The sequence below is a fragment of the Homo sapiens genome, chromosome 2, assembly GCF_000001405.40.
Source record: "Homo sapiens chromosome 2, GRCh38.p14 Primary Assembly".
Classification (NCBI taxonomy): Eukaryota; Metazoa; Chordata; class Mammalia; order Primates; family Hominidae; genus Homo; species Homo sapiens.
In genome coordinates, this window is record NC_000002.12 from 10657337 (window position 1) to 10671493 (window position 14157).

Below are 14157 nucleotides of genomic sequence, written 5' to 3' on the forward strand. Positions count from 1 at the left end.
AAAGTATGAATTTGAGATATGTAATAATACCAACATGCATGGAAGGATAATTAGTAGCTCTGAAGACTTTTCCTACACCTGTGAGGGAATCTCAATATCTAGGGGGTTTCTCGGGTCATAGATCAACTTTTGTAAACCACTATTTTCTCTCTACCTAACTTAACATCTAAAATGCATGCCAATTCTAGATAATTGGGAAAACTTAACAGAAGGAAAGCAATCATGAGTATCTTATCTAAATATGGATATTATCTATCCAAAAGTAACTGACCTCCCGCTAAGTTCCCAAATGTATATTCAGTATCTCTTTCCCAATAACCCACATAAAAAAGGAAAGGGAGAGGAAAGGATCATTCGGAACACCTGCAAATAAAGAAGCAAGTAATTTCAACCAAAAATACATACGGAGTTCTTATTCCACATCTTGACAATTCGAGAGTCAGCAGACAAAATCAGATCTAATGAATCCTGGAAATGAACGGACTTAATGGGCAGCCCATACTGGTGATCTTTAACTAGCAATGGCTTATCAGATCGAAGGTCATATAATAAAACCTGAAAAAAAATTATTTCTGTTTAAACAAACTAGACATTTTATCTTCAAAGGAAATATTTCTAAGTGAGAATAATGGCAGCCATTTGCTTCATCGCTTTGTTATGAACACAATGAACACCCTTACTCAAGGTGCTGAGATTTGAGATTCTTTCCAGAAAGATCTCTTAAATAATCCTTAGAGTATACATTTTATGAATTCAACCCCAAGATTAATTTGTAAGAGCTACTGAACATACTAAGAAAGAACAAAAAATGAAAGCCCATAAGAATTTAATTTGTTCAACAAATATATACTGAGGGCCTATGTACCAGGCAGTGTCATAGCAACAGATATAAACAAAAATGAAAGACATAATCAGGAACAGTCCTAGTAGATCAAGACAGATGGTGGTGGCAAGGCTATGACTTCTTGGGAGAAGGGAGAATCTCTTCGGACCCGTCACTAGAGGCAAGGAAGCCTGGGAAAGCTCCCCTAGGATTAAGTCCCAGGTGACAGATGCCCTCTAGCCCATGATGACAAAGAAAGTAAATCCTCCAAGGCAGGGTTTCAGACCTCTTGTAGGAGGCAAGTGTACAGGCTCTGCCTTGAAGGAAAGAAAGAAGTACTCCTCAGACTAGCACTGCTAATGCATGTTCTGCTGACCACTCATGGCATGTGCTATAGTTAATGATGCTATATTAAAAAAAAAAAAGTTCCTTGAACACACAAATTTTGGAAATATTTATTAAACATATTTCTTGTCTGCAAGAATTCCTGAGAGCCTTCATTAAAACAGTATTGAAACCCACTGTCAATCTTCAAGAGTAAAAGTCTGGCAGACTCCCAAGACTGTCTGACCACAGAATTCTGTTGCATAGACTCTGAAAAATGCTGTTCCAAACCACTAACAAGAGAATACCTATGGCCAAGCCCGGTGGCTCACGCCTGTAATCCCCACACTTTGTGAGGCCAAGGGTGGGGGGATCGCCTGAGCCCAGGAGTTCAAGACCAGCTTGGGCAACACAGTGAGACCCTGTCTCTACAAAAAGTCAAAAAATTAGCCAGGTGTGGTGGTGCAGGCCTATCCCACTGCAGCTCTAAGTCCACAGCACTGCAGACTGACCAAGGCAAGAGTCAAGATTTCTCAAGGTGTGGAAGAATCCAGCATTCTGGAATACCCTCTGGTCTGGCTAAAATAGTATGATCTCATTTTCTGTTCCTGCAGTGTATTTCTCATGACACATACACACACCACTGAAATACCAACTTACATGTGGTTTCCAAATTAAACATATTTACCTGCCCTGTGGTTGTTCCAACTGCCATGGTCAAGGCACCATTAAATTTCAAAGCAGAGATTGTTGGTAAACTGTTTATCCTGAAAAGCAAAATATTCATGCTTCATGAATATACGGCCAAACCTCCTTCCAAGTAACAAGTTCATTATTAGTCTTCACTTCAAATCTAATGGGGGGGGGGGGGAGGAATCACATTTCTAGGCTTCTGTTTAAAAGGTAACTGCAGCCTGGTAAGATGACTCGCACCTGTAATACCAGCACTTTGGGAGGCTGAGGTGGGAGGATTTCTTGAGGCCAAGAATTCAAGACCAGCTTGGGTAACACAGTGAGACACCATCTCTACAAAAAATTAAAAAAAAAAAAAATAGCCAGTTGTGGTGGCACACACCTGTTGTCCCAGCTACTTGGGTGGCTGAGGCAAGAGACTGCTTGAGCCTGGGAGGTCAAGGCTGCAGTGAGCTGTGATCATTCCACTGCGCTGCAGTGGAGCTCTGCTGGGACAACAGAGCAAGACCCTGTCTCAAAAATAGTAAGTAAATAGTAATTTTATTCAAACTTTCATAATCAAAGTTACACTTTATATACAAAACGTAATCTACTTTCTTCCATTTTAATTAAGCCAGAATAAGGTATTTATAGAAACATCCCCTTTCATACTTAAGAAGACATAGTTTTGTTTGGACATGGGTACACCATTTCCACTTTAAAATTAGCCAAGTTCAGCTAAAATAAAAGACTAATCCTCAAATGGGGACCCTAGAGCCTCTGAAAGTACCAAAGACAGAGTGAATGCTATGGCCACGACTCTAGAATATGCTTCTCACATACCAACCAAGACAATCAGCACCAAAAGCAATGATCTCCAGTGGAAAGAGTGCTAGGCGATGAGTCAGAAGTGGACAATATCACTATCAATCCTATCGTCCACATGCCCTTGGCCCAGGACCTAGAGTCCTGGCTGTTGGCTGTCGGCATCATCAGGTCTCTTCTGCCACCTAGAGCTTGAGCCTGTAACTGCGCTGGGGCACCTGTGGGAACCTCGAAGCCTCATATGCACAGCAACTTTAGTCACTTACTCTTCAAAGTATACTTAATCATTTCTTTCAGTATAGTGATATACTTCTCTACTTATTCCTTTGTCATTTTCTTCACATATTTTTTTTGGAGACAGGGTTTCACTCCCGTCGCCCAGGCTGGAGTGCAGTGGCATGATCTCAGCTCTCTGCAACCTCCACCTTCCGGTTCAAGCAATTCTCCTGCTTCAGCCTCCCGAGTAGCTGGGACTACAGATGTGTGCCACCACTCCCAGCTAATTTTTGTATTTTTTTGTAGAGATGGGTTTTCACCATGTTGCCCAGGCTGGTATTGAACTCCTGATCTCAAGTGATCTGCCTGCCTTGGCCTCCCAAAGTGCTGGGATTACAGGTGTGAGCCACCACACCTGGCCCATATATGTTCTTATCGAGTTTTACAATTTTTGTTGTTATTAGAATGTTTTTCCATTTATAACCTTTTTAACTGGATAGTGCTGACAAGGTCACTGATTTTTGAACATTTTATAACCAATTTATTTAACTGTTATATTAGTTCTTATAGATTTTCAGTTATTCTCCTGAGTTTCTCAGGCACAGAAACTTATGTCATCTGGAAATGACAGCCTGCTTCCCCTATTCAACACTTACACTTATTGCCTTCTCGTATTGGTTCCACTAGAAGTGACAGCTTATAAGGTTTGTAGGGAAAACAAACAAAAAAAAAGCAAAGCATTAAAAAAAAAAAAAGTAAAATTACCTAAAACCAAATCAGAAAAAAAACCCTAGTTTTAACACTCGGGTATACATCCAGTCTTCTTCCTATGACTATGTTTGTGTTCACTGCTTTTCTGATAACGATGTGGTAACACTTTATTTATTTGTTTGTTTGTGATGGAGTTTTGCTCTTGTTGCCCAGGTTGGAGTGCAATGGCATGATCTTGGCTCACTGCAACCTCCGCCTCCTGGGTTCAAGTGATTCTCCTGCCTCAGCCTCCCAAGTACTTGGGATTACAGGCATGCGCCACCACGCCCAGCTAATTTTGTATTTTTAGTAGAGACAGGGTTTCTCTGTGTTGGTCAGGCTGGTCTCAAACTCCCGACCTCAGGTAATCCACCTGCCTCAGCCTCCCAAAGTGCTGGGATTACAGGCATGAGCCACCATGCCCAGCCTATTTATTTATGTTTGAGATGGAGTCTCACTCTGTTACCCAGGCTGGAGTACAGTGGGGTGACCTCGGCTCACTGCAACCTCTGCCTCCCGGGTTCAGGCGATTCTCCTGCCTCAGCCTCCTGGGTACTTGGGATTACAGGCATGCACCACCATGCCCGGCTAATTTTGTATTTTTAGTAGAGACAGGGTTTCACCATGTTGGCCAGGCTGGTCTTGAACTCCTAACCTCAAGTGATCCTCCAGCTTCGGCCTTTCAAAGTGCTGGGATTACAGGTGTGAGCCACCGTGCCTGGTCTATATTAGTTCTTATAGATTTTCAGTTACTCTCCTGAGTTTCTCAGGCAGAGAAACTTACATCATCTGCAAATAATGACAGCCTGCTTCCCCTATCCAACACTTACACTTACTGCTTTCTCATATTGTATGGGCTCCACCTAGAAGTGACAGCTTCTAAGGTTTGTAGGGAAAACAAAAACGAAAAAGCTAAGCATTAAAAAAAAATTAAAAAATAAAATTACCTAAAAGCAAATCGGAAAAAAAAAAACCCTCTAGTTTTTACATTCTGGAATACACCCAGCCTTCTTCCTATGACTATGCTTGTGTTCACTGTTTTTCTGATAACAATGTGGTAACACTCTATAGTCAACAGTATGGCTCGCTTTTCCACTGACAGGCGCATTTGGACCACCTTTCCCTAGTAATAAATATGCTTCTGCAACATAATTCCTAAAGGCTGAGTAACATGTATGCCATTGACGAATATTTTTTTCATCTATAAAATAAATACAATAACAGTGCCTACAGCAAAGGGCTGTCGTATTAAATAAGTTAATATATGTAAAGAACTTAGACCCAGTACCTGGCAAATAGAAAGCACTATCTGTCAGCTACTATTTCTACTAAGCTTTATTTAATCAATATCCTCAGGCTCTTTCTAAGACTTATTATTAGCAGTGCTGTGATGGACGTCCCAGGCTGAGGAGAGTGAGCAATGTATGCTCTGGGCATGCAGGGAGACATTTAACCTGAGGTTATGTTTTCTGTAGGGCAATTTAGCAATGTACCAAAAACCTTCAAAACATGTATGCTATTTAATCCAGAAATTCAGGTTCTAGGTATCATTTCTCAGGAAATAATCATAAAACTGTAAATGGATGTATAATAGTGAAAACTCTTCTGATTGGTTTAAATGTAGAAATTAGGCAAACAGGAACAAGAAAATATTAAAAAAACACTTGCTTCCTTCCACCTTAGAATTCAAAGCACACCTCTGTGGACTTTGTGGTGGACTCCTGGTTCTATCACTAGATTCTACAAAATTGGAATACAAATTCCTGTAGTGTAATTGTTTTAATAAAATCGTACAGCAACTAAAGAAATAAGGCCTTCTGTATAGTATTTTGGAAAGAAATTCTATCTGGCTTACTCACTAGTGAGCTTTTACAGGAGAGGATCTTTATGAAAAACAATCATGGAAAGTACAATTTCAGATATCCTGTAGCAATTTATTTGAATTTAATATAGACACATTACTTAAATTAAAAGTTGATGAACATTTACATTGCAAATTAATTTCTACTTACTCTGAATCTGCTGTGACACTGTTTAAGGCGCAGTCTAACAGGCCAACTCTGTTTCGAGTTCTTGGGTCCCAGCACTCCACTCTACCCTATGCAAATGAAAAACAATTTTAAATAAAAGCTGTAGAAGGCGGGGCATGGTGGCTCATGCCTGTAATCCCAGCACTTTGGGAGGCCGAGGCGGGCTGATCACCTGAAGCCAGGAGTTTGAGACTAGTCTGACTAACATGGCGAAACTCTGTTTCTACTAAAAATACAAAAAATTAGCTGGGTATGTGGTGCACGCCTGTAATCCCAGCTACTTGGGAGGCTAAGGCAGAAGAACTGCTTGAACCCGGGAGGTGGAGGTTGCAGTGAGCCGAGATTATGCCACTGCACACCAGTCTGAGCGACAGAGCAAGACTTCGTCTCAAAAAAAAAAAAAAAGCTGCTAAGAAATCCTTAAAACACATACAAAAATAAACCACATTAACATTGTTTATTTCATAGAAAAAGTCCTTATTTTTAAGAAATCCATTTTAAAGTATTTAGGGAAGAAATATCATAATGCCTGCAACTTATTTTCAAAAGGTTCAAAAAACATTTTTAATACATGTACATTTTTATGGGAAAAGAAAATGCAAAATATATATATCACTAAACTTTTACAAAGATGTGAACTTTTTAAAAATAAAAAGCTGGGGAAAATTTTTTTTAATGAAAAGAAGAATCCCGGCCAGGCGCGGTGGCCACGCCTGTAATCCCAGCACTTTGGGAGGCCAAGATGGGGAGATCACGAGGTCAGGAGATCGAGACCATCCTGGCTAACACAGTGAAACCCAGTCTCTACTAAAAAATACAAAAAATTAGCCGGGCATGGTGGCGGGCGCTTTTAGTCCCAGCTACTTGGGAGGCTGAGGCAGGAGAATGGCATGAACCCGGGAGGCTGGAGCTTGCAGTGAGCCGAGATCGCACCACTGCACTCCAGCCTGGGCGACAGAGCGAGACTCCGTCTCCAAAAAAAAAAAAAATACAAAATTAGCCAGGCATAGTGGCGCATGCCCGTAATCCCACACACTAGGAGGCTGAGGCAGGAGAATTGCTTGAACCCGGGAGGCAGAGGCTACAGCGAGCTGAGCGTGCCACTGCACTCCTGCCTAGGCAACAGAGAGAGACTCCGTCTAAAAAAAAAAAAAACCCAAAAAAACAGAACAGGCCGGGCATGGTGGCTTATGCCTGTAATCCCAGCACTTTTGAAGGCCGAGGTAGGTGGATCACCTGAGGTCAGGAGTTCGAGACCAGCCTGGCCAATGGTGAAACCCCGTCTCTACTAAAAATACAAAATTAGCTGGGCATGGTGGCAGGTGCTTGTAATCCCAGCTATTCGGGAGCCTGAGGCAAGAGAATCGCTTGAACCTGGGAGGCAGACATTGCGGTGAGCCGAGTCCAGCCTGGGAAACAAAGCAAGACTGTCTCAAAAAAAAACAGAATGGAGAAACTGTAGTACGTCCATTTAAACTGAGTATTAGCCATTACAAAGAATGATGTGAATATACATGTACTAGAATTGTGTCCACAAAAAAGCAATTTACTTTTTTAAATGAGGGGTCGTTGTTTGTGTGTTTGAGACAAGGTCTTGTTCAGTCGCCCAGCTGGAGTGCAGGGCACAATCACAGCGTATTGCAGCCTCCACCTTGTAGGCTCAATCCATCCTCTCACCTCAGCTTCCCCAGTAGCTGCATCTATGGTATGCACCACGCCTGTCTAATTTTTGGATTTTTGGTAGAGAAGAGGTGTCGCCATGTTGCCCAGGCTGGTCTCGAACTCCTGGACTCAAGCGTTCCACCCACTCGCACTTCCAAAGAGCTGGGATGACGGACGTGAGCCACCACACCCAGCCAACATTTGTGTTTTTAAAAAAATGCTTGTGCAAACAGAAAAACCTGAGAGGATACACAGCAAATTATTAACAGTATTTACCTAAGGAAACAGGAATAGGACAGGGTGGAAGGGAATTACACTTTTCACTTTGTGTTCTTGTCTATCATTTGATTTTGTAATGATAAAACAAAAACATAAACAAAGATGTTTTAAGATTGTTTAATATATTAACTACCTTAAAAGCAAACCCTTCAATATACTTAGGAGGTTCTGACCTCATTAATCTTTTAATATTATTACAAGTAGGTATGTTGCAAAGATGAATAATCGAAGGGAAACCTTTTTAAACTACAGCAGGTAATTCCAAATGGTCTAGTCTTCTATGTCTTCTCAAAATGAGTTAATAAATTTTATGGACATAAAAAAGAAAAGTTGCATTCCAAAAACACAAAATGGGTATGCAGATAACTTCCAGTGTAAATACAAAATGTATTTTTAAGCACACTGATTTTCTATTACCTAAATTTGAATATTTCCATTGCCAAACCTCCCCTCTTAGGCACTTCAAAAAGCACAAAATGCAAACATTTAGTTTGACAATATTATGATAACTAAGAACTAAAGAAGAAACTAAAATCTGAGATGTAATATGAAAATCAATGTAAAATGAATTTGTTAAGCCTGATCTGACTATGCTTATGAAACTGCAAGCTGCTAATAATCAAGGAATTTCCGGAAGCCCAGTCTTTGAGCATCCCTACCTCCTATCCCTTCAACATGTCCTAGGCTGGTCTTAAACCAGCTGCTGGAAGAGCAGCACGTTCTAATACATAACTTCTCTTAGCACATTGCCTGGTGTCTAGCCTAGACTGCCCTGTAAGGACCCTAAAAACTATTTTCTCAGGGAAACTCTTGTAAAACTTCCCCTTGGTAATCTCAAGTAACCTGACTACCAAGAGAAAGCTTGATTTAGACATAACAGTATTCAAACACATTCAACATAGTTTTACATAATATCTGTCAGATCAAACTTAGTGTCCCATTTCAAATATTAATCTTTTTTTAAAATACAACTTCAACTTCTTTGTTAGACTCTGGGGGTACGTGCAGGTTTGTTACACTGGTATATTGCATAATGCTGAGGTTTGCAGTGTGACTGATCCCGTCACCCAGGCAGTGAGCATGGTAGCCAACAGTTAGTTTTCAACCCTTGCCTCCCTCCCTCCCTTCCCCATCCAGTAATCCCCAGTGTCTAGTGTTGTCATCTTTATGGTCATGAGTACCCAACGGTTAGCTCCCACTCATAAGTGAGAACACGCAGTATTTGGTTTTCTGTTCCTGTCTTAATTCACTTAGGGTAACAGCCTCCAGCTGCATCCATGTTGCTGCAAAGAACATTCTTTCATTCTTTTTTGTGGCTGCATTAATCTCTCAACATAAAAATAATTTGAGTAAAAAAAAAACCATTAATTCCATCCATATGAAACTGGTTTAATAAATTATAGTACAAACAACAGAATGCTATCTGTAAACTATCATTTTTTTTTTTGAGACGGAGTCTCGCTCTGTCACCCAGGCGGGAGTGCAGTGGCCCAATCTTCATTCACTGCAACCTCCGCCCCCCTGCCTCAGCCTCCCAAATAGCTGGGATTACAGGTGTGTGCCACCACACCCGGCTAATTTTTGTATTTTTAGTAGAGACGGTGTTTCGCCATATTGGCCAGGCTGGTCTCAAACTCCTGATCTCAAGTAATCTGCCTGCCTTGGCCTCCCAAAGTGCTAGGATTAGTGAGCCACTGCGCCTGGCCTGTAAATTTTTTTAAAATTAGTTTAGCATCGTAAGTAATTATAAGTACCAATAAGATGTATATTATATACTGTTATGTCTAAAAAAAAAAAAGCAAATGGAGAACTACAGTAGAATACAATTTCAGTTTGGTAAACCACTTTAAAAAATATGTATGTACACATATGCATATTGGCATATAGCACTTAGGAAAAAAAATTTGAAAGGATACTACTCCAAACCATTCAAGTGTTACCTCTGGGGTGTAGGATTTGGTGACTGGAAGGTATAAAAGGGCACTTTTTAAAATTACATGCTTCTGACATATTTGCATTTTTTAAAACTATGAGTATTTATCATTATTTTAAGTGAAAAATGCAAATCTACAAAAAACTATTGGTAAGTGTGAAGGACATTGATTCAAAGATATTATCATTTAAAAGAAAAATGTTGTGTACATTCATCTCAATATTTACTGAATGTTACTCTACAGGATGTTCAAGCTATCACCTCATTATCATCCTGCTCTAAGGAATCAAGCAACTCAGTCTTTAAATAAAAATTCCAATCAAATATAAAACAAATATTCTAAAAAATAAAGTCAACATATGCTTACCTCTATGGTTCCTGTGGCAAACAAGCCATGCACTGAATTTATGTCACAAACATTATTCTCCCTAACACAGGAAAGCAGTAAGAAAGAATGAATTAGTTAGCACCTACTTTAGTGGGGAAGGAATATTAAATAAATAAACAGTCAACCCAAATTCTGAGTAGAAAGAAGACACACAGATTCTCTCTTACTAATCTGCAAATGGAAAACACCAAGGTATGAAAGGGTTAAGTGCTTGGCTCAGTCACTGGAGTTTCTGATCCCCAGGGTGACACTCTACCTGCTAGGTGACAAACAAGGAGGGACTTCCTTCTGAAATACTATTCCACTACCATGAGAAGAAAGGGTCACTCTATTTTTCAAGGTATTTTCTTCCAAGGCAGGTAACATTCTTAAAAGAACACACGCTATCACCATGACAATCCTGAGCCTTGACAGGCTTGTCCTGGGTACATCATTCTAAGTCTCATTTTCTTTCTCTGTAAAATGGATATTTCACCTACCTCGGGGGGTTGTTATGGGGATTAAATGAAAAAGACTGCAAAGCGTTCAGCAGTATCTGGGGTACAGAGGACACTCAATATAATGCATTTGTGAAGTTACTACTACAAGTTTTTTTTTTAATAAAAATAAAAGCATTTCTACCCAATGTGAAATAAAAAAAAATTAGAGTTTATTTGGTTCTTATCACAACATGTTCACCTAACCTTTAAAAATCCTCTCAAAGCAATACGAGAAATTCAGCAAGCTCTTCATATACACAATGAGAAGTAATCCAGCTTCCACCCTTGACTAGTTGTGTGGCCTTGGGCAAACTACTTACCTCTCTGAGCCTCAGCTGCCCTATCTGTAAAATGGTACTTACCACAAAAATCTGTTCTAAGTTTAAAATGAGATAATAAAGGTAAAATGACTGAATAACACCTGGCACAAAGTGCTTTCCTACTGTGTTTATCACTATTATTTGTTGTGATGATGATGATGATGGATTCATTCCTAAAAATTTTTGCTGCATAGTACATATGTGTAGACTATAATGTATGATAAAAGGAAACCTTTAAAAACCTTAAATGTCCGCTAGCAGAGCATAAAAATTTAAAAATGGCACTCCAAATTAATTCAAAAGTTCTCCACAGGAGAAAATATCACAAAACAAAACCATGAATGTAAATTTAAAGAACACTACAAGTAATAATAATAAACTGAGTATTTTTAACTGACTTAAAGTTGAGTAGATGAAAAAAAGCTTTCATTTAATTTTTAAAGTAATCACCAGATCTTTCAGTGAATTTTTTGTCTGAGAATAAATTCAACAGTACTTTTTAACTAAGTTGCTGGGAGTTTTGCTTAATTGCAATAGTTTATGTTACTTGTTAACAAACTGAGCATCTGGCTCCACCTCCTGGTCAAAATGTATATAGCAGAATTACTAAAACTACTCACGCAGCATCAGTTTGTAGAGGATTCAGGTATCGTCCTTGTTCTAAGTTTAACCTATAAACTTCAGAACTGTAAAGTAATAAAGAAAGTTAAAAACCTGCTAAACTACAATGAAACTTTAAGTAAATATAAATTTTATAAATATATATATTACTCATAAGCCACCACTTCCTTTTGTAACACTGATACAAAAACGTATTCTAAATCTGAAAAATATCCACTTTATGAATTTGTTCATGTATAAAAGTGATTTAAACCATTCATGTGCCAAGGAAATATGAAGTCATTACGTAGAATACTATTTACAAATAAGATGGAGAATACAAGATCCAAAAGTATATGTAATGTATCTACATATGTATATAAGAAAGGACTAGAAGGAAATATAATAAGGATCCTCTCTGGGTGGTGTAATTATGGCTGAATTTTTTCTTTTTTTTTGTTTTTTTGTTTTTGATATGGGGTTTTGCTCTTATTGCCCAGGCTGGAGTGCAATAGCGCAATCTCAGCTCACGGGCGCCACTCACTACACCCGGCTAATTTTTTGTATTTTTAGTAGAGACAGGGTTTCACCATGTTGGCCAGGCTGGTCTCAAACTATTTTTTTGTATTTTTAGTAGAGGCGAGGTTTCACCATGTTGGCCAGGCTGGTCTTGAACTCCTGACCTCAGGTGATCTGCCCACCTCAGCCTCCCAAAGTGCTGGATTACAAGCATGAGCCACCATGCCCAGCCTGAATTTTTTCTTTTCTATATTTTCCCAATTTTCTAAAATGGGTATGTATTTGTATATATATATATATTTTTATTTTTTATATATATATATATACACACACACACACATACACACACACATATATACACACACACACACACACACACACACACAAACATAATAGCCACCAGTCAAATACCTGGTCAAATGCTACCTTTTTGATGACCATAAAAATAACACAGGGCTGGGCAGCGGTGGCTCACGCCTGTAATCCCAACACTTTGGGAGGCTGAGGTGGGCGGATCACGAGGTCAAGAGACCGAGACCATCCTTGCCAATATGGTGAAACCCTGTCTCTACTAAAAATACAAAAATTACCTGGGCGTGGCGGCGCATGCCTGTAATCCCAGCTACTCGGGAGGATGGGGCAGGAGAATCGCTTGAACCTGGGAGGTGGAGGTTACAGTGAGTGGAGATTGCACCACTGCACTCCAGCCTGGCGACAGAGCGAGACTCCATCTCAAATAATAATAATAATAATAATGATAATAATAATAATAAAGGCCAGGTACAGTAGCTCACACCTGTAATCCCAACATTTTGTGAGGCCAAAGCAAGAGGATCTTTTGAGCCCAGGAATTCAAGACCAGCCTGGGAAACATAGTGAGACCCCATCTTTATAAAAAACTAATAATAAAACCAAAAAGGTACTTAGAATAAAAAGTTTTGAAATACTGTGCAATAGGGCTAAGAAACTGACTTTATCAACTAGATTATACATGTCTATCTCCAAATTTAGCACCATACTAACAGAAGCCAAAGATATCACTCCTAAATGAGTCACATGTAGGAATTATACCTTCACTTTCAGCAACTTAAAAGCAAAGATCATGTCTTATTCTTCTTTAAAGAAATTAGTCCTTCAAATACTGCTGTATTTTCAGGGGAAAAAAAAGGGATATTTCTATTGAAATTGTACTGAATTTTTGCCTACAATTTATCTCGTTAAATATTGTAAATAAATTGCTAATACTAATAGCCAAAAAGATACACTAATTGCTTTGTTAAAAACAAAACAAAACAGGGCCGGGCACCGTGGCTCATGTCTGTACTCCCAGCACTTTGGGAGGCCGAGGTGGGTGGATCACCTGAGGTCAGGAGTTCGAGACCAGCCTGGCCAACAAGGTGAAACATCGCCTCTACTAAAAATACAAAAATTAGCTGGGCATGGTGGCAGGCGCCCATAGTCTCAGCTACTCAGGAGGCTGGGGCTGGAGAATCACTTGAACCTGGGAGGCAGAGGTTGCAGTGAGCCAAGATCGTACCACTGCACTGCAGCCTGGGTGACAGTGTGAGACTCCCTCTCAAAAAAAGAAAATGAAACAAACAAACAAAAAAAACAGAAAAAACAAAACAAAAAGACATGGGTAGGTAGTGGTGTTCTAAAGTTATGACATCTGTCCTAATTAGTTTCTTAAATACATTTACTACTTAATGGTTTTGAAACAACTGTTTTTTAAATTTTTGAAAACTTGCTAATAAACTTTTGTTCAGAATTTAGTAGACTGTTTAATGTAGGACATCAACTACATAATGAAAGATGCTTTAAATGCTTTTGTCATTTCATGCAAATCAAATTAAATCAAACTATCAAATTACCAAAAATAATAACAATAAAACCCTCTCCCAATTTTTTTAAACTAGAGTCCATAACCACATATGACCTATTAATCACAAAGTGATCAGATAGAAACTGATTACTGACATGAAGCAAACTTAAGGTCGAGACAAAAGTCTAGAAGATAAACAGATAAATAAAACAATACTATGTCTCATAAATTGTGGCAACCGGGCTAAACTGAAAAGGCTCACACACTTCCCATCAGTATTTCCCAATGAGGCACATAACTATCACAGATATTTTTAACATTAGAAAATATTGTATTAAGCAAAACAACAGTTGTTAAAACAGTATATGGTACTTATAAGTAAACCAATATGTAGAAAATAGAATTTTTTGCCTATCCTGTGTTTTCTTTTCTTTTTTTTTTTTTTTTTACAAGAGCCACGTATCACTTTTTTATTAAAGCAAGTTACCTAAACAGAGAAAATGTACACGAAATTT

At 39.0% G+C, this 14157-nt stretch overlaps 1 protein-coding gene across 14 annotated transcripts in view; it reads right to left on the minus strand.

The window, feature by feature from the left end:
* The window catches only part of NOL10 (nucleolar protein 10), a 119222-nt gene that overhangs the window by 86583 nt on the left and 18482 nt on the right, over positions 1-14157 (minus strand). For 11 of the 14 annotated variants that reach the window (NR_048552.2, XR_007082254.1, XR_007082293.1 and 8 more), the window contains 5 exons: positions 11322-11387; positions 9882-9942; positions 5623-5708; positions 1836-1914; positions 406-555 (listed from right to left, as the gene is read on the minus strand). Coding sequence is in view for 8 of the 14 variants with exons in the window: in NM_001261392.2 (NP_001248321.1) it covers positions 406-555; positions 1836-1914; positions 5623-5708; positions 9882-9942; positions 11322-11387 (442 nt within the window). In the remaining 6 variants the exon portion in view is untranslated. Of the gene's footprint in view, positions 1-405; positions 556-1835; positions 1915-5622; positions 5709-9881; positions 9943-11321; positions 11388-14157 lie in introns of those variants that run through there. The other 3 variants (NM_001261394.2, XM_047445899.1, XM_047445897.1) reach the window with 3 other exon arrangements.